The sequence below is a fragment of the Homo sapiens genome, chromosome 2 (assembly GCF_000001405.40).
Source record: "Homo sapiens chromosome 2, GRCh38.p14 Primary Assembly".
NCBI classification, from domain to species: domain Eukaryota; kingdom Metazoa; phylum Chordata; class Mammalia; order Primates; family Hominidae; genus Homo; species Homo sapiens.
Window position 1 is genome coordinate 8,670,889 of NC_000002.12, and position 16,587 is coordinate 8,687,475.

The window sequence follows — 16,587 nt, forward strand, 5'->3', positions numbered from 1 at the left end:
CTCCTTATTTCACCACCATTCCTTTAAAACCTACAGAAAGCATAGTCTTTTTTTCTAATGGGCAATCGTCAAAACACAGTGGCTGTAAGGGAACCTGAAGATGTGGTGAGGATGGTTAAGAATATCTTATTTAAAACTTTCATGTTTTGGAACTATTGTAAAATATCCATAGTAAATATTTCCTTTTTTAAAGCTTGCATTTCTCTCAGAGATGGGTAAATGGACGTGATCCAGTTTCAGCAAGTCTTAGGAGGCAACTCGGTGCGAACCTCAGGAGCACAGACTTTGAGGTCAGATGGGCGTGGGCTTAGATTCTGGTTCCACCATCTCCTGGCCGTTCTGGCATGGGCAGGTTACCTGGGCATCCTTCACACTGGCAGTTTGCTGGCCTGCAAGATATGAAAGCAGCAGTCTCCGTCTGAGGGCTCTGTAAGGGCTTAGTGCAGAAGCAGGTGAGGGAGCGCTGCCCATCCTTTACACATGGGAACCTGGGGCTCATGGTGACTCACCCTAGGACACGCTGCAAACCAGGGGTGCAGGTGCTCCCAGAGACGAAAGAAACAAAGGACTGGGTGGGAACCAAGAGCTCAGGCTCAGGGAGGGACAGACTGGGGGAGCCCTCAGCCTCACCCCCCAGGCCCCAACATGCACCCCACCCCCGTAACGGCAGCAACCAAAGAACCTCATCCCACCTTATTGCAAGGATTGCCTGCTTCTGCATTTCTTTAGTGGCTCCTCCTGGAGAATTCAGGACTCATGACTTGAACTAGCAGGACTTGATGAACTGTAACTGCATCCACCCACTCCTGACTGCTTTCTCGGGATCAGAAATGGCCACACTGGGATTGTGTCACTGGGCAACACCATCCCAGGAGTTCCTGCACCTTAAATCAACAAGACAATGGGAGAAAAAGCCTGATCCTAACCTGGAAGCATGATCATCACTCCACACTCAAATTCTTTACATTGTTGTTGTTTTTTTTTAATGTTGAAATCACTTTAAAATCTTGATAAAGAGAAGTGACGCCTCTGAGATGTTTCTGTGACACTGTTTCTGCAGTGTCTGGAGGTACCAGATGCTCTCACTGCCTTTCCAGGAAACTGTGCGGCCCACAGGCAGTCACCTCTCACCAGTGAGGCTTCCTCGTGTCTCCAGGGCCCCTGAGCTGGTACCATTCATCATACTTGGTTTTGGTTCAAAACATACAGTCATCACATAGGGTTATAAATTCTATATCTTGGGGGATAGTTGGTAGGGGTTCTTATTGGTTAAAAGAAAGTCCTAAGAATATACTAGACACATATCAAATAAAACCTGTATTTCTTTTAAAATTAAGGCACTTTTAGGCGGGGTGCAGTGATGCCTGTAATCCCAGCACTTTGGGAGGCTGAGACAGGCAGATGACTTGAGCCCAGAAGTTCGAGACCAGCTGGGTAATATGGTGAAAATCCATCTCTACAAAAAAATATAAAAATTAGCCAGATGCAGTGGCTCACATCTGTAATCCCAACACTTTGGGAGACCAAGGCAGGAGGACCACTTGAGCTCAGGAGTTTAAGAACAGCCAAGGCACCATGACGAAACCTCGCCTCTAAAAAAATACAAAAATTAGCCAGGTGCAGTGGCATGTGCCTATAGTCCCAGCTACTCGGGGGACTAAGGCAGCAGAATTGCTTGAGCCCAGGAGGTAGAGGTTGCAGTGAGCTATCGCACCACTGCACTCCAGCCTGGGTGACAGGAGTGAAACCCTGTCTCAAAAAGAAATAAATAGCTGGGTGCTGTGACACATGCCCATAGCCCCAGCTACTTGGGAGGCTGAAGTAGGAGGATTGCTTGAGCCCAAAAGGTTGAGGCTGCAGTGAACCATGATCATGCCACTGTACTCCAGCCTGGGCAACAGAGTGAGACCCTGTCTCAAAAAAAAAAAAAACAAAAAAAACAGGTAGGTTTGTTGGGTGTAGGGATATGTTTATTTTATGCACTATAAATCATGTTGTTATAAAACTTTCAGGAAAAATACACAAATAAATTATCAATGATTACAACTATAATGAATGCACAAGATTATACCTAGAAACTCTGTACCCCCAATTTCTCTTTTGGAGGCCACTTTATGAAACAAATCACCCACAAAAGTATTGACTTACGACAATGAGTTACTCTACAGTCCCACTGGCCAGGCTCCAGCAGGCAGCCTCACGATGTCTTGTGTGCTTGGTCAGTTGGTGGCTGGGGCTGAGGTCATCTTACTGGGCTGGACATCCACGGAGTCCTCTTTTATTCCCAGCCAGGTGCTCAGCTGGGATGACTGAGGCTGGCCCCTTTTTTAGCCCTTTCCATGTGGCCTCTTCATGCCACCAGCTTAGACTTCCTCACTGCATGGTGATCTCAGAGATGTCTGCATTTGTTACATGGTGACTGTAAGAGAGAAGCCAAGAAACCAAAACCTTTTAGACTATAACCGTCCCACTTCAACCAAACGCCACAGAAAAGACTGTGGCCCCAACTCTAACCCCATCAGCAAAGGGGAGTGAAGAGCTAGATGGCCCCCCTCAGTCTGCTGTCAGAAGACGCCACCCTGAACAACAGGATGGTGTCAGAGAAGGTGCAGTGGGGAGCAGACAGTCATCCCTGCAGGTCAGCAATAAGCATCAGCAGAGGCTACCTGGGAGCCTGAACACCCACCCACCCCATCCACCACCCAGGGGATAATCAGGCACTGCTCTCTCCCCACTGAGGTTGTCAAGGTTGAGTAAGAACTGCGACATTCATCACCTTCCAATGGTAAGATGCCTCCACCCCACAATGTCATTGGAGGCCACGTGAGGAGCACCTCCTCCCAAGCCAGGGTGGTGCAGCAGAGGCCACTATAATAGAAGATTTAAATAAGCTCCACATCATAACATTACCCCCAAAACGCCCAGGTTTCAAGAAAAAAGAAAAAAAAAATCATTCATCATTCCAAGAACCAGGAAAAGCTCAACTTGAACGAGAAAAGACAATCAACAGTTGCCAACACTGAGGTGACACAGATGTTGGAATAATCTGACAAGGACTCTGCAGGGGCCATCAGAAAAATCTTCTAATGAGCAATTATGAACAGGCAAAAAAAAGATGAAAAAATAGAAAACTCAGTAAAGAAGCAGAAGATGTAAAGAAGAATGAAAGGGAAATCTTAAAACTGAAAAATACAGTAACCAAAGTAAAAACTCATTGAATGGACTCAAAAGCACAGTGGAGAGGGCAGAGGAAACCATCTGTGAACCTGAAGACAGAACAACAGAAATTGCCCAACTGAACAACAGAGAGAAAACAGATTTTTTAAAAATATATTAACATAGTCTCAGGGACCTCTGGGATTATAATAAAAGATCTAACATTAGTGTCATTGGAGTTCTGAAAAGAGAAGAGAAAAAGGGCAGGGCTGAAAAAGCATGTGAAGAAATAATGGTTGAAAATTTCCCAAGTTTGGCAAAAGAAGCTGTCTAGAGAACCTCAAACAGAATAAACCTAAAGAAATCCATGCCTAGAGAGATCATAGGCAAACTTCCAAAAATGAAAAGACAAATCAAGGAGAGAGAAACCACACCTTACTTACATTGGGGAAAAAGCAATTCAAATAACAGCAGATTTCATATGAGAAATCAGATTTTGTCATGAGAAACCCTGATAGAAGGAAGAAAGCACCACAGAATGTCAGGTGCTAAAACGAAAAAACACTGTCAACCCCAAATTCTATATCCAGCAAAAATATCCTGCAGAACTGAAGGCAAGAACAAGACTTCAGATGCGGGAAAACTAAGGGAACATGTCACCAACACACCTACCCTAAAAGACTGTCCAAAAAATGCTCTTGAAACAGCAGGAATTACTCAAACGGAGACTAATGGAATATCAGGAAGGAAAAAAGAACAAAGGAAAAAGAGAAAATGCGGGTAAGTATAACAGATTTTCCTTCTCTTGAATTTCTAGAAACGAGTGTACAGTTAGTTTCTTAAAGCAGGCGTCCCCAAAACCCCAGGCAGTGGGCTGGTACCGGTCTGTGACCTGTTAGGAATCCCAGGCAGAGCAGGAGGTGAGCAGTGAATGAGCATTACTCCCTGAGCTCCGCCTCCTGTCAGATCAGCCACAGCGTTAGTTCTCATGGGAGCGCAAACCCTACGGTGAACTGCACATGCCAGGGTTCTAGTCTGTGGGCTCCTTAGGAGAATCTAATGCCTGATGATCTGAAGTGGAACAGTTTCATCCCAAAACTATACCCCTAGTACCCACCACCCATCCCCCAGCCCCACTCCCTCAACCCTCTCCCAACCCCCCATTGGAAAAATGGACTTCCATGAAGCCGGTTCCTGGTGCCAAAACGGTTGGGGACCGCTGCCTTAAAGGGTCCAAGTAGGCTCATTCTCACCCAGCAGTCTGCCTACTGCAGGGTTCATTTAAGAGGCCGATTATTTATCCAGGGCTCATTTAAGAGGCCAATTATTTATCTGAAGCTTCTCAAATTGTGGTCGCCGCACCACCGGCATCAGCATCTCCTCGCCATGCTTGCTTAAAATGCTATATCCTGGGCTGCTCACCAAACCTACTCAATCAGAATTTATACAGGTGGCCACAGAACTCTGGGTGTAAACGTGGGTTTCTTACATAGACTAAGGTTTGAAAAGTCCTAAGATGTTAGTTGACCTTTAGTTAACAAAGGGTCAAGCTCAGTCATTCGGTGTTAACTTGGAAGAAAAATGAGAACAAACTGTTTTCACAGATTCCTGGCTCTTGGCAATCCAGCTGTCCAGGAGTGGAATACATTTCAAGGTTAAAAGAGTAATCAATGCTCCACCTGGAGTCAAGGTTACACACCTTTGCACAATGGCAGGCTGTCCTAGGAAGTGTTGGCTGGAGTCTAGGCCACCACAGAGGAGTCTGTCATTCACGTGTGCCTGCGTTTCTTCCTCTCTGAAATGGGGGCAGCCTTTCCAAACTCTTGGGCTCAAGGTGAACAGCAAAAGAGGTGTGCCGTGCACAGGCGTGTAAAAGACTATTTTTTACCTAAAGTGAATGTTTACTCTCTCCTTAAAGAGGGCCTTCGTGTTGCTCTTTTTTCTTTGAAATGGAACGTCTGTCTCTGTATTCTTCACACAGAATCCTAGAAAGTCAGGCATGATGGTTAAAATTAAATGTATGCCTTAATTTACCCATCCTTTTCTGCGGAGTCCTGATGAAGGGCAGGCCTAGGACTAAACAGGAGAGGCCCTGATGTCAGCGGAGGCAGGAAGAGGCCGGGATGAGCCCAGGACCCACCGCAGAGCTAACCAGGGCGATGTGCGCTCCACCAGCTAGAGCGCAAATCCTTCGCCCCGTGCCTAGGACTGCTCCTCCAGGAACTCCTCCAGGTCCCCTCCGCCCGCGGTGTCTCCACGTTCCCTCCTGGAGATGCAGCCTTAGGTCCTGCCCCTCCCGCAGAATGGTTCGCGGTGACGCGCGGCTGGGATCTTGCAGGACCCGCGCACGCACTCTAACTGGAAAGGAAAAGTCTGCAAACTGTCATTATTATGAGGAGAGGGCTGAATCTGGGAGTAAACGCCTTAAAGATGCGGCAAGGGGAAGAAGGAGTTCAAACTATTGAAAAACCTGTCCACCAGCCAACTCGCGCTGGCGCCGCCTGGGTAACACCAGTGCCCGGGCGATCGGTTCGCCTGCCTCCCCGGCCGAGAAAGGGCTGTGCCCCAAAGCCCTTGTCCTGTGCCCAGGACAAGCGCGTCCCGGCCAGGCCCTAGCCCGTCCCAGGGACCGGGACAGGGCTCACAGGGCGGCTGCCCCAGCTGGGAGCGCACGTGGTGCGAGGCAGGCGGGTTCCTCCTCACTGAAGTCATGGACTTGGCTCGCTGCGGAGGGGCCGGCGCGCGAACGTGGCTTGAGCCAAAAAAGAAAAAGTGCACACAATGTGTTTCTTGTTAGGGACTGCAAGCCGGGGCCTCGGGTTTTGCTTTTGGTGCCGCATTATAATATTAAGATGCAGTTTGATTCCGGACAAGTCCGTCCTTGTCGCTGGCTGGGGCGGATTCCCACGGACGCTGGTGGGCAGAGGGGGGGTGGCCTGGGTGCTGCGCTGTGGCGCGAGGGTGCACAGCGGATGGAGGGGGGGGTCCCTGCATGACCTAGGCTCCCTGCGGTGGCCGGACCCCAAGACTCGCGCCTCGGGGCGGCGCAGACAAGGCGACGCCAGCCCCGCTCCCGCCAGCTCGCGGGCGGCCCAAGATTGTTTTCCAAGACCTTATCTCTCACTCAAGTTAATTTTCTCTTTTAATTTGGTGATCGGAACAAAAGACACAGGAAAATCCTTTGTGAAAGCTAACGCAGCCACAAATCGGGGCACTTCACAGCATTTGTAACAAAATATTTGCAGTGCCCGTAGTTAAGTCGGCCCCTCCGCCAAACTTCCCAAACTTTGCTTTCTTTGAACCAAGCTGAAAAGTGATCTCCCTAAAAGGGGATCAGAAGATTGCAAGCAATTGGATTTAGCACGGAGTTCTACCTGGTGCTCTAGAGAGCTCTGGGCACACAGGATGGTGCGGGAATCCTGGAAGGAATTACAGCCTGAATGGTGGCAGGGCAGGGGAGGAGCCACTGTGAAGCCGTGGTAGTCGCTGAAACGCTTTGTTAATGCCATTTATTAGCTGTATGCGACAAGAAGTGTAAGAGGTTAGGCAGGTCTTCAAAAATATCCAAAAAGAGAAAAATAAACATTCCCTTGTTTGCTTTTTGTGGCTTTGCTCATTTTCTTCCCCTCGAGTGGCCCTTCATCTAAGGCTGTTTTAAACCCAAAATCGGTTATCTGGTTTCAGGGTAAGGGCTCCCTCTTGCCAAGGTATTAAATAAACAAGTACAGCAAAAACTTGAATCCTTATGTAATCCAAATGCCGTTTCCTCGAAAACCACAACAAATGCTGCTAAACCAGATAACAGGACCGGGAACATTCGGCCCCCCAACCCCCACCCCACAACACACAGCCTCCGCCCCCAGCTTTAGGGCCAGCAGAGGACATTTATGTTCAGGAACTCCTCTCCAGGACAGATAAATAATTGCTACTAACACTCTCAACTGCAGATGAGCACCCTTGAGGGATCCGGATGCCATAAACTGTCCGGGAGTGTTGGCATCTGGTTCTTAAAGCCAGGACCCCAGGAGGCGTCTGCGTCTGCAAGCTGACTTGGAAGTTTCTGGCCTCTTGATGTTCTCAGTCGAAAATGGTGCATTAGAAAGGGGATTGGTCTGGCCCGCGCTTTGTAGTAGTAATGAGGGCGCGAATCGCGCTAGGCTCTGCGCGCGCGAGGCTCCGCCGAGCAGGAGGACTGGGGCTGCACATCCTCCCGGCTCCCCCAGGGCGGAGAGGGGGGCCGTTCTGGAAGAAAAAATTGTTTATGCGCAACCTCCGAGGGTTCCGAGGAGTTAGGCAGTAAGACGGTGTGGAGGTTGGGGGGGCGGGGCGAGTCTTTCAATCTTTCAAAGGTATTTTTAGGAATCCAGGATCAAAGCCATTCGGCGAGAAACCGAAATAATCCAAAGGAGTAAATAAATCTCGCCATGTGCTAAGACAGTGACCTTCTCCCCATCCACCCTTCCCTCGCGCCAGCCCCACCCTGAACGCCTCGGTTGCAAAAACAAAATAAAGCAAAACCTTTTGCTTTGGCAACCTCTAAGCCACATTATGCCTCCTTTTGCAAAAGGAAGATTTCTTTCTTCTCCCTCTCCCGGCTTTTTTCCTTCGTCCTCTCCTCCGCCCCTCACCCGCCCACCCCCCCCCCCCCCCGAGCCCTTTTCTTTTCTTCTCGGTCCTCTTTCCTTCCCCAAATCACTCGAAACTTAAGACGTGCAGCGTCTGCAGGTGCGCGCGGGCCGGCGGCCGGGCCTGGGCGAGCCTGGGACTGCCGGGCCTCGCAGGCATTGATCAGCTGGGCGCGCGCGCTGAGTGACGGCGCGGTTGCCATGGCAGCCGCCTGAGCGGCGCCGCGAGGACAAGGCTGCAGGGCGGCGTGAATGGGCGGCGTCACGCGCCTGGCGCCAGAGAGTCTGCTCCGGGGCTCCGGCTCCGGCCCCGCCGCGGCCTGGCCCGCGCGCCGCCGCCGCCGCCACCGCCGCCGCCAATTCATCACCTGTCAGGGATCACTCGCGGGGTCACGGGCGGAATGGACACAGCTGTGAGAACAAAACCCGGGAAAGAAAGGCGAACGCTCCCCATTGCGCCAGATGTGCAGGGAGGACCTTGAGACGCGCCCCCCGCCCCCGCAGGCTCCTCCCGCCCCCCGGCGCATCACGCGGGGGTGGCAAAGGCGGCCTGGCCAGCGCGGAGCTCCCGGCCCGGAGCTGCTTCTGATTACCGCGAGGGGCCCGGACGCGAGAGCCGCCGCGGGGCCTGCCCTAGAGGCGGAGTGAGTGAGTCCTGGAGCCAGGCTGGGGGACCTTACGGGCCGGTCTGTCGCTGCCACGGGGTGGGGGCGTCCCGGTGGGGAGTCGAGGGGAACCGCACCAACACCCACCAGCGGAAGCCCTGCACACCTTCCCACCGCCCGCGGATCTAGCCCTCCCTCTAGCTGGGGCCGTTTGAACTTTGGAGGCCTCAAATGCAAACCCACCCAAGCCACCAATTGACAGATTTTGACTTGCCTTTAAACCCACTTGGAAAATGCTCCGACACGATTTTCCCCCACGAAAGCAATTTTTAAGGTGATTTCATATTGGGCGTGCTGAAACAGACACACTAGTAACTTAGGCCTCGTTTAAATCATTAACTTATACAGCTTCGTAATCCCCTTTAAATGATCTTTAAATGAATGTAAAACTGGGTAGCGTGCCAATAGAATCGAATTCAACACAGCCAGGCAGACTGGACTCTGACATGGCAGCTAAAGAAAGAAACACCAGAAAACTTTCACCATATTTAGCCATTTTACTACATCAGGGTACAAAAATGATCATGGGAGAAGGCACTGCCTTAATCAACTTTGCAAAGTGTAAAGTGAAACCGCACAATGCTCATTACCGCCCAACCCAGAGCCTGGCTGTGGGGATAATGAGGCTGGCACGGATGTTAACATACGGTGTCCTTGGAAAAAGCTAGGAATGCGTCAGTATCGAAGAGCTGCAATGTCCAAGAATCATAAGTAATAATTTGAGAATCCCAAAGATGTTTGTTTACATTGGCTATTATTGTAAAATAGTCAAAGTATAACATCATGAACCAAAATAGTGTCAAAACAAAATCTGTTCCACTGTGGCACGTATGTGACAGAAACACATGCACACAAAGTACATCAAAAGGCTCGAACTGTGGGAGGACTCGGATAGTAAATCACTTCCAGACTTAATATCAGAAGAGATACGGTGCATCCAACGCTGTCAGGGACAGAGTCGCAGGCAGCATTGCCTGGCCTGGGGAAGGCCCTCCGCAAACTTCTGGCTGGACAGGAAACAGTTTACCTCCTTCCTCCAAACTGAGGGGGCTGAATTTCAGGAAGGTGAGCTCCACCTCAGTGCCACCCACTCTGCCTCCCTGGAGAGGCGTCATGGGGCGCATAGCTGTCACGTGACGGTCAGAGACTGCTGGCCCCACCAGCTGAGAAATTAATCATTAATTGAAGGAAAAAACACTGTTTCCCCATTATCGAGCTTTTCTTTCAGCTTCTAGGCCTGCCCCTTCCGCTTTCTGAAATGCAAAGGAGGTAGAGATTGAGGCAGAAAGTAAATAAGATTTGAATATTGCCTTTCCTGGAGTTTTCTAGTTCATTGTTTTCTGGAGCAAATATTTTCAAAAACAAGAAACTGACACACTGTGGTCAAAACAGAATTCTAGATAAGCTACAATTATGTGAAAATTAAGGTATTTAAGTAAATAGCTGCAAACTTTTTAAAACTTAGACTGAAAGAACGAGTTCTTAAAAGATTTTCAGCCAAAAAAAAAAAAAAAAACCTTGAACCCGTATTCAGTACTAGTGCTGAAAAGATTCCAAACCTCATATGACAGAATATTTTTTTTTCCTTAGTGTGAAGATGTCTATCAATGGCTAGGGCCACCTATCTGTCACAAAGCTTTGGAACTCCTCTAGGTGTTGGAATGTGACACCAGAAATCACAATTAGTGCATAATTAATCACATTACTTTGCCACCTACACGGAAGGGCACAGACCGGCAGCCTTTCAAGGGCAGTGTATGTAAATGTAGTTTCAATATGCAAATTCTCCTAATTATTTCCGATTAATACGATCATTATAATAGCCCTGCCTCCTTCTTGAAAAGGAACCCTGAAAGCGCCCTGCCTGTGAGAGCTCCTTAGCGACCGGTGAGGTTGGGCATGGTTTGCAATAAGTACTCATTTTCTTGAGTTTACAGTAATGCCTCCCGCGCTGCTCCGGGTTGCAAAAGCCCACACTAAGCCTGTCGTCGAATGCGTGCGTGGGTGGTTTGTTTGTGTTAACATAACTTTTCCTTATCTGAAGAGACGAACTCACTCTACAAACGTGACTCTTCAGTGACAACCTAATTTGCGTTTTCACTTTCTTCTGAAATGCTTTCTATCTTTCCTCACGCTCTCCCTCCGATGGGTTGCAGTGAACTGTGGCTTCCCCCCTGCGGTGCTGAACTCGCCCGTGTAGCTGTGATTTTAGAGCTGCCGACAGCTCTAAGGTGTGTAGGGCTTGGTCTGGGAACACCCCCAGGGCAAGGGTCCCGCCGCGCGCTTGGAATTAGAATTAAGAATGCATATTTAGGCGCCCAGGGTCTGCCCCCTTCTCCCTCCTCCTTCCCCTCCCCCTTCCCCTCCCCCTTCCCCTCCCCCATCTTCCCTTCTCTTCCTCCTCCCTCCTCCTCTCCCTCCTCCCGCCTCCCTCCTCCCCGCCCCCCGCCCGCCGCTCCCCGCCCCCCGCCCCCCGCCAGCCCCGCACTTACTGTACTGTACTCTATTTACCACCCCAGCTGGGCTCGCGCCCCGCCCACCCCGCGGGGATTGGCTGCGAACGCGGAAGAACCAAGCCCACGCCCCGCGCCCGCGCCCACCAATGGAAGCGCCCGCTCGTCTTGATAGACGTGCCACCTTCCGCCAATGGGGACGAAGGGAAGCTCCAGCGTGTGGCCCCGGCGAGTGCGGATAAAAGCCGCCCCGCCGGGCTCGGGCTTCATTCTGAGCCGAGCCCGGTGCCAAGCGCAGCTAGCTCAGCAGGCGGCAGCGGCGGCCTGAGCTTCAGGGCAGCCAGCTCCCTCCCGGTCTCGCCTTCCCTCGCGGTCAGCATGAAAGCCTTCAGTCCCGTGAGGTCCGTTAGGAAAAACAGCCTGTCGGACCACAGCCTGGGCATCTCCCGGAGCAAAACCCCTGTGGACGACCCGATGAGCCTGCTATACAACATGAACGACTGCTACTCCAAGCTCAAGGAGCTGGTGCCCAGCATCCCCCAGAACAAGAAGGTGAGCAAGATGGAAATCCTGCAGCACGTCATCGACTACATCTTGGACCTGCAGATCGCCCTGGACTCGCATCCCACTATTGTCAGCCTGCATCACCAGAGACCCGGGCAGAACCAGGCGTCCAGGACGCCGCTGACCACCCTCAACACGGATATCAGCATCCTGTCCTTGCAGGTAAGACCTGCTCCGGGGTCCCCGCCCCGCCGCCGCACACTCCCGCGGTCGTCTGGGCTGTCACTAGGAGATCCGTAGCCCAGACGGTGACTTTCGTATGAGCTATTTAACTTTATTTTCTTCAGAATCTGCTGTAGATTGAGCTGTGCGTGAAATTGCTAGTAAGTTCTGACATGTTAATGCGTCTGTCTTTAAATCTGAATTGTTACCATAAACGTGTTTAATGGAACTTGCTGGTCTGTGGACTACAAAAAAAAAAAAAAAAAAAAAAAAACCCTTTCTACTTAACATTGTCTTAACCTCGTACTCTTTATCCTCTTTCTTTCCAGGCTTCTGAATTCCCTTCTGAGTTAATGTCAAATGACAGCAAAGCACTGTGTGGCTGAATAAGCGGTGAGTGTTTGCTTGTGCCACCCGTGGGTAAACTGCCCCTCGGTGTGTGTGCGCGCGCGCGCATGTGTTTTTGCTTGTGTATCTATAAAATGTCTGATTTGGTAAATGCATGCTTACTTCGCGGTGTTACCCGTACTACATTGTCTCACTAGACATGAAGGAGCTTGTAGCTTTGGGTGCTCGAGATCACAGAACATTTTCCTTTAAAAGGAAATGATGCCAATAACTTACTACGAAGGCGGCCGAGGAACGTGTGTATTGGCTTTGTAGCAAATGTAATGCCCTGGATCTTCCTACGAGTCCTCTGGTACTATGAGGTACTAACCTCCACTGTAATTAATCTTACCGCCACAAATTCCATAGTGATCCTCCTTCCCTAAAACTATAGTCCTCTGGGATTCTCTGGGCTAGTTGAGGATTGCTACCCTGTGCCTTCAACCCTGTGATGTGGGATCCCAGACTTCCCTATCTGTTAACTAAAGGGCTGTTTTCAATCAAATAATTGTTACGAGAAGCAGACTGGCGCCTGTAGCACTGCTGTTGGAGATCCAAATAGGAGATTGGGTTGGGAAGTTTTTCCCTTGAGTCTCTGCTATTTTAATGTTTAATTTGCGCTGTCGAGGCGAGTGTGTGTGTTGCATCTGGACGCCAGGGTTTGCCCAATCTTTGAGTGTTTGGTTAAATGTTCAAACTGTGGCTTCCTCCCGGCGCCAGTCGCCCGCCTCTGCCCTTAGGTTACATTCTCTTAAACATGCCTTTCTCCCCCACTCTTTCGCAGGTGTTCATGATTTCTTTTATTCTTTGCACAACAACAACAACAACAAATTCACGGAATCTTTTAAGTGCTGAACTTATTTTTCAACCATTTCACAAGGAGGACAAGTTGAATGGACCTTTTTAAAAAGAAAAAAAAAATGGAAGGAAAACTAAGAATGATCATCTTCCCAGGGTGTTCTCTTACTTGGACTGTGATATTCGTTATTTATGAAAAAGACTTTTAAATGCCCTTTCTGCAGTTGGAAGGTTTTCTTTATATACTATTCCCACCATGGGGAGCGAAAACGTTAAAATCACAAGGAATTGCCCAATCTAAGCAGACTTTGCCTTTTTTCAAAGGTGGAGCGTGAATACCAGAAGGATCCAGTATTCAGTCACTTAAATGAAGTCTTTTGGTCAGAAATTACCTTTTTGACACAAGCCTACTGAATGCTGTGTATATATTTATATATAAATATATCTATTTGAGTGAAACCTTGTGAACTCTTTAATTAGAGTTTTCTTGTATAGTGGCAGAGATGTCTATTTCTGCATTCAAAAGTGTAATGATGTACTTATTCATGCTAAACTTTTTATAAAAGTTTAGTTGTAAACTTAACCCTTTTATACAAAATAAATCAAGTGTGTTTATTGAATGGTGATTGCCTGCTTTATTTCAGAGGACCAGTGCTTTGATTTTTATTATGCTATGTTATAACTGAACCCAAATAAATACAAGTTCAAATTTATGTAGACTGTATAAGATTATAATAAAACATGTCTGAAGTCAATACCTGAATTCCGAGTGGTTTTTAAGATCTCTGGCATTCACTAGCTCTTTTCTCTCCCTGTCTCCCCCTCTCGGCCCCCCCCCCCACACACACACACACACATTGTTTTCTTTATCCCCTTCTCCTTCATCCCCCCACCAGCAGCACCCCTGAAGCTTTTACTTGTGTACAGAGAATCTTATCAGATGTGTGGTAAGGCAGAGGGCTGAGTTGACAGGGACTGGGGAGGCTTTGAGCACAGAAGTGCCTCGAGTCCTTAAGAGAAAGCTTGGTTCTGTGCCTCAGGGCTGAGTTTAAAGCCAAGAATGAGTTGAGTCTGGGAGTGTGGAAGCACTACCTGTCTGAGTGGGCGTTAAGACGCTTCTCTGGAGTAAATGAAAGTTAATCAGGAGAAGAAAAGAGGCTGTACAGAATTCAGAACATGATTTCAGGTTTAAGGGAAGGCAGAAACACCCGAGGGTTACTGTTTGCACAGGGAACTAAGCTGTCACCTGGCCCCGGGCTCCTGAGGCCTCCTTGGCTTCGCCTGCGTCCACACCTGTAGCCCCCCCGCCACACCCCACCCACCTCCGGGCCTCCGGAGACGGGGCTGGGCCGGGCGCATTTTCCCGGACTTTTCGATCGCCCTCAGCCTTGACTGCCGCCCTGGACTGGAAGGAAGAGGCAGCGGGCAGAAGCCTTTCCCAGCCAAAGACCGCGGGTGGCCACGTGCTCAAGACTGGTCTGCGTTTTCAGTCCCGGGGCGCGAGGTGGGCTGGGAGGCTCTGGAAGGCGGGTCCCAGGTGGACGCGAACCGGGGGAGGAAGGGATCCGGGCGGGGCAGCAGCTCACCTGGGGCGGAACAGGTGTTCGGGCGGCGCCACCGAGGAGTCCGCGCGTCTCCCCGCCCTGACCCCCGATCGCTCCCCGCGGGCGCTGGCGCTGGAGGAGGGCGGGGGCCGTGGAGCCGCGGCCGCCCGGATCGCCCTGCGGACCCGCGCCGGGGACTGGGCTCTGCCGGGGCCAGCGCGGGGCGGTCGTGTGGTTGATCATCATACCCGGAGGAAGCCCTGAGGGCCGTAGGGGCGTCTTCCCCGTCGCAGGCTACCCGCGGACCTGGCCCCCAGGTCCCCGCCACCTGTCGCCAGCCGCGGCCCCGGCCGACCTCTGCGCGGCGGGGAGGGAAGCGCGCTCTGGTCCCAACCCGACCCCCGCCTCGCCTCCGGGAGAGGCGCAGACGCCGGCCGCACGCTCGCCCCCCAGCCACGGGGACCCGCGCGTAGTCCGCTCGGACGGCCCTGGGGAGCGTCCCCGGACGGAAGCAGTGCGGGCGGGACTGTGGGGCGGCCCGGGCCCTTTCGAGCCCCTGCCGGGCACCGCTGGCGACGTTGGCCCCGGGACCCCTGGAGCCGCAGCCGAGGCGCAGCAGCCCCTCTCGGAGGCGACTTCCCGCGGCGCCAGCCGCGCTGCCCGACTCCGGCCGTGGAGCCCGGGCGCCACCTGCTGGCCGACACGAGGACGGCGGCTCTCGCGCGGGGCCTGGTGGGCCTGGGGCCCGGGCACTGGGAACCCGAGGAGCAATCCGTGGGGTGGAGGAGGTCCCGGGAGAAAACGCCAGGGAGTGCGGCCTTTCCAAATGAGTGCTGCTCCAGCATGTGTACAGCCGTTTCCACGTGTGGATCTCATGTAATCTTTGCTACTGCATAGCATAGACAGGATCCCCTTTTGCAAATTAGTAGTTGCTGCCAACCTCTATGCTAGGTGCTGTCCCAGAGATTTTTAAAAAGATCAGACAGGATCCTAGTCTCAAAGAGACTATGCTTGGATTGTGGGGATAAATGAATTGTGAAGTCACATGAAAGCCAGAATGCTTTCCCTTCTCTTTCCTGGATGTTTTGTTAAATTTTGTTTTAATTTTTCTGAACTGCTTAATAACTATTAACCAAGAACGCCAGTGTTAGTTAAAGCAGTGGGAGGTGGGAGTCGGCCTCCTTTTCTTATTCCAAATCCTAATGAGAATCGATCACATTTCTTCCATTTAGTAGGATGTGACTGTAGGCTTCTGTTGTAATAGATACTGTTTCTCAATTTTTGGAAGAGCCTTTCAATTGCTAGGCTTGTTGGAAGGGGTTTTTTTTTTTTTTTTTTTTTGAGAATTTTAAATCATAATTCGTGAGTCAATTGGTAAAATACTTTTGACTGCATTTACTGATATTATTTTTGTCTGGTGGATTACACTGATATTTCTGATACTGAACTAGCCATGCATTTCTGAAATAACTCCTACGTGAACATCATATATTATTACTTTTTATATCCACCGTGGATTCTGTTAGCCAATATTTTATTTTTGAAAATGAAATGGAACTGTGATTTACTTTCTTGTGTTGTCTGTAACTGGTTTTTGAATCAAGATCATACTAACCTCAAGCAATAAATGTACAGGTCAGTTTACATTTAATTTTAGCGTTCAAAGCCATGAGTGCATCCCTGAAGGTCGGCTAACGTGTAGTCTGTCTATTTCAGAGGTGAGCATTGAGTAGCCAACAGCACACAACCAGGCAGTGGGCAGACGAACTCAGTCCAGCGCTTTTTCAGGAACATAAAAAGGACTTTCAAGTAGAGGGTGAAGATGTAGACTCTAATAGAAAATAATATTCTTGTCAATAAGGAGCTGCTTTATAGAGCTTTTAAAATCCACAGCTAATAATTTGTGCGGCTCTCTGCAGGGCAGGTGCAGAGCCATCCCAATCCCCTTCAGCTTGACACCCCATACATCCTTCCAATTTTTGATGCATTTTGCTACCGGAAAAGGGGTTTCAGACTTTGAGTGTCTTTCTGGATGCTGATCCAGAAAAGGTGTTGGATGTTTTTCTATTTCATCATAAAGATACTTTGAAGACCAGGGGCAGTGGCTCACGCCTGTAATCCCAGCACTTTGGGAGGCCAAGGTGGGTGCATCGCTTGAGCCCTGGAGTTCAAGACCAGCCTGGGCAACATGGCAAAACCCCATCTCTACTAAAAATACAAAAGTTAGTTGGGT

The 16,587-nt window shown here is 50.2% G+C and overlaps 1 protein-coding gene and 1 long non-coding RNA gene across 3 annotated transcripts, besides 12 other annotated features; one reads left to right on the forward strand and one right to left on the reverse strand.

The window, feature by feature from the left end:
• Positions 1 to 95: 95 nt before the first annotated feature.
• ID2-AS1 (ID2 antisense RNA 1) lies at positions 96 to 10,975 on the reverse strand. Of its 2 annotated transcripts, NR_110154.1 has the most exons (4): positions 10,939 to 10,975; positions 2,149 to 2,419; positions 693 to 884; positions 96 to 389 (listed from the first exon to the last, which is right to left on the reverse strand). It is a non-coding gene; the product is annotated as an ID2 antisense RNA 1 (long non-coding RNA). The 2 variants fall into 2 exon arrangements; NR_110153.1 differs by lacking the exons at positions 96 to 389; positions 693 to 884; positions 2,149 to 2,419 and adding an exon at positions 8,921 to 9,699 and having other exon boundaries at positions 10,939 to 10,973.
• Positions 4,855 to 5,773: an enhancer, noted in NCBI's record as "H3K27ac-H3K4me1 hESC enhancer chr2:8815873-8816791 (GRCh37/hg19 assembly coordinates)". NCBI's record gives its function as "activates a minimal SCP1, AML or CMV promoter by ChIP-STARR-seq in naive and primed H9 embryonic stem cells {active_cell/tissue: H9 hESC(naive and primed)}" and the evidence as "EXISTENCE:reporter gene assay evidence [ECO:0000049][PMID:30033119]".
• Positions 5,774 to 6,691: an enhancer, noted in NCBI's record as "H3K27ac-H3K4me1 hESC enhancer chr2:8816792-8817709 (GRCh37/hg19 assembly coordinates)". NCBI's record gives its function as "activates a minimal SCP1, AML or CMV promoter by ChIP-STARR-seq in primed H9 embryonic stem cells {active_cell/tissue: H9 hESC(primed)}" and the evidence as "EXISTENCE:reporter gene assay evidence [ECO:0000049][PMID:30033119]".
• Positions 7,405 to 7,938: an enhancer, noted in NCBI's record as "OCT4-NANOG-H3K27ac hESC enhancer chr2:8818423-8818956 (GRCh37/hg19 assembly coordinates)". NCBI's record gives its function as "activates a minimal SCP1, AML or CMV promoter by ChIP-STARR-seq in naive H9 embryonic stem cells {active_cell/tissue: H9 hESC(naive)}" and the evidence as "EXISTENCE:reporter gene assay evidence [ECO:0000049][PMID:30033119]".
• Positions 7,884 to 8,383: a silencer, noted in NCBI's record as "silent region_11126". NCBI's record gives its function as "represses an Ori minimal core promoter by ATAC-STARR-seq in GM12878 lymphoblastoid cells {active_cell/tissue: GM12878}" and the evidence as "EXISTENCE:reporter gene assay evidence [ECO:0000049][PMID:35858748]".
• Positions 7,884 to 8,472: a biological region, named in NCBI's record as "H3K27ac-H3K4me1 hESC enhancer GRCh37_chr2:8818957-8819490".
• Positions 7,939 to 8,472: an enhancer, noted in NCBI's record as "H3K27ac-H3K4me1 hESC enhancer chr2:8818957-8819490 (GRCh37/hg19 assembly coordinates)". NCBI's record gives its function as "activates a minimal SCP1, AML or CMV promoter by ChIP-STARR-seq in naive H9 embryonic stem cells {active_cell/tissue: H9 hESC(naive)}" and the evidence as "EXISTENCE:reporter gene assay evidence [ECO:0000049][PMID:30033119]".
• Positions 10,367 to 10,870: an enhancer, noted in NCBI's record as "NANOG hESC enhancer chr2:8821385-8821888 (GRCh37/hg19 assembly coordinates)". NCBI's record gives its function as "activates a minimal SCP1, AML or CMV promoter by ChIP-STARR-seq in primed H9 embryonic stem cells {active_cell/tissue: H9 hESC(primed)}" and the evidence as "EXISTENCE:reporter gene assay evidence [ECO:0000049][PMID:30033119]".
• A 192-nt stretch (positions 10,976 to 11,167) lies between the features above and the next one.
• ID2 (inhibitor of DNA binding 2) lies at positions 11,168 to 13,573 on the forward strand. The gene is made up of 3 exons (NM_002166.5): positions 11,168 to 11,625; positions 11,955 to 12,018; positions 12,797 to 13,573. Exons 1-2 carry the CDS (start codon positions 11,278 to 11,280, stop codon positions 12,009 to 12,011), a joined length of 405 nt encoding a protein of 134 aa, NP_002157.2. The 5' UTR covers positions 11,168 to 11,277; the 3' UTR covers positions 12,012 to 12,018; positions 12,797 to 13,573.
• Positions 11,358 to 11,407: an enhancer, noted in NCBI's record as "active region_15273". NCBI's record gives its function as "activates an Ori minimal core promoter by ATAC-STARR-seq in GM12878 lymphoblastoid cells {active_cell/tissue: GM12878}" and the evidence as "EXISTENCE:reporter gene assay evidence [ECO:0000049][PMID:35858748]".
• Positions 13,690 to 14,480: an enhancer, noted in NCBI's record as "H3K27ac-H3K4me1 hESC enhancer chr2:8824708-8825498 (GRCh37/hg19 assembly coordinates)". NCBI's record gives its function as "activates a minimal SCP1, AML or CMV promoter by ChIP-STARR-seq in naive H9 embryonic stem cells {active_cell/tissue: H9 hESC(naive)}" and the evidence as "EXISTENCE:reporter gene assay evidence [ECO:0000049][PMID:30033119]".
• Positions 14,481 to 15,270: an enhancer, noted in NCBI's record as "H3K27ac-H3K4me1 hESC enhancer chr2:8825499-8826288 (GRCh37/hg19 assembly coordinates)". NCBI's record gives its function as "activates a minimal SCP1, AML or CMV promoter by ChIP-STARR-seq in naive H9 embryonic stem cells {active_cell/tissue: H9 hESC(naive)}" and the evidence as "EXISTENCE:reporter gene assay evidence [ECO:0000049][PMID:30033119]".
• Positions 14,775 to 14,834: a silencer, noted in NCBI's record as "silent region_11127". NCBI's record gives its function as "represses an Ori minimal core promoter by ATAC-STARR-seq in GM12878 lymphoblastoid cells {active_cell/tissue: GM12878}" and the evidence as "EXISTENCE:reporter gene assay evidence [ECO:0000049][PMID:35858748]".
• Positions 14,855 to 15,074: a silencer, noted in NCBI's record as "silent region_11128". NCBI's record gives its function as "represses an Ori minimal core promoter by ATAC-STARR-seq in GM12878 lymphoblastoid cells {active_cell/tissue: GM12878}" and the evidence as "EXISTENCE:reporter gene assay evidence [ECO:0000049][PMID:35858748]".

Excerpts from the sequence above, each read along its gene's own strand:
- ID2 (NM_002166.5), top strand. The coding sequence starts at position 11,278 with ATGAAAGCCTTCAGTCCCGTGAGGTCCGTTAGGAAAAACAGCCTGTCG. Across the intron at positions 11,626-11,954 it reads TCAGCATCCTGTCCTTGCAG|GCTTCTGAATTCCCTTCTGA; the intron begins GTAAGACCTGCT and ends CTTTCTTTCCAG.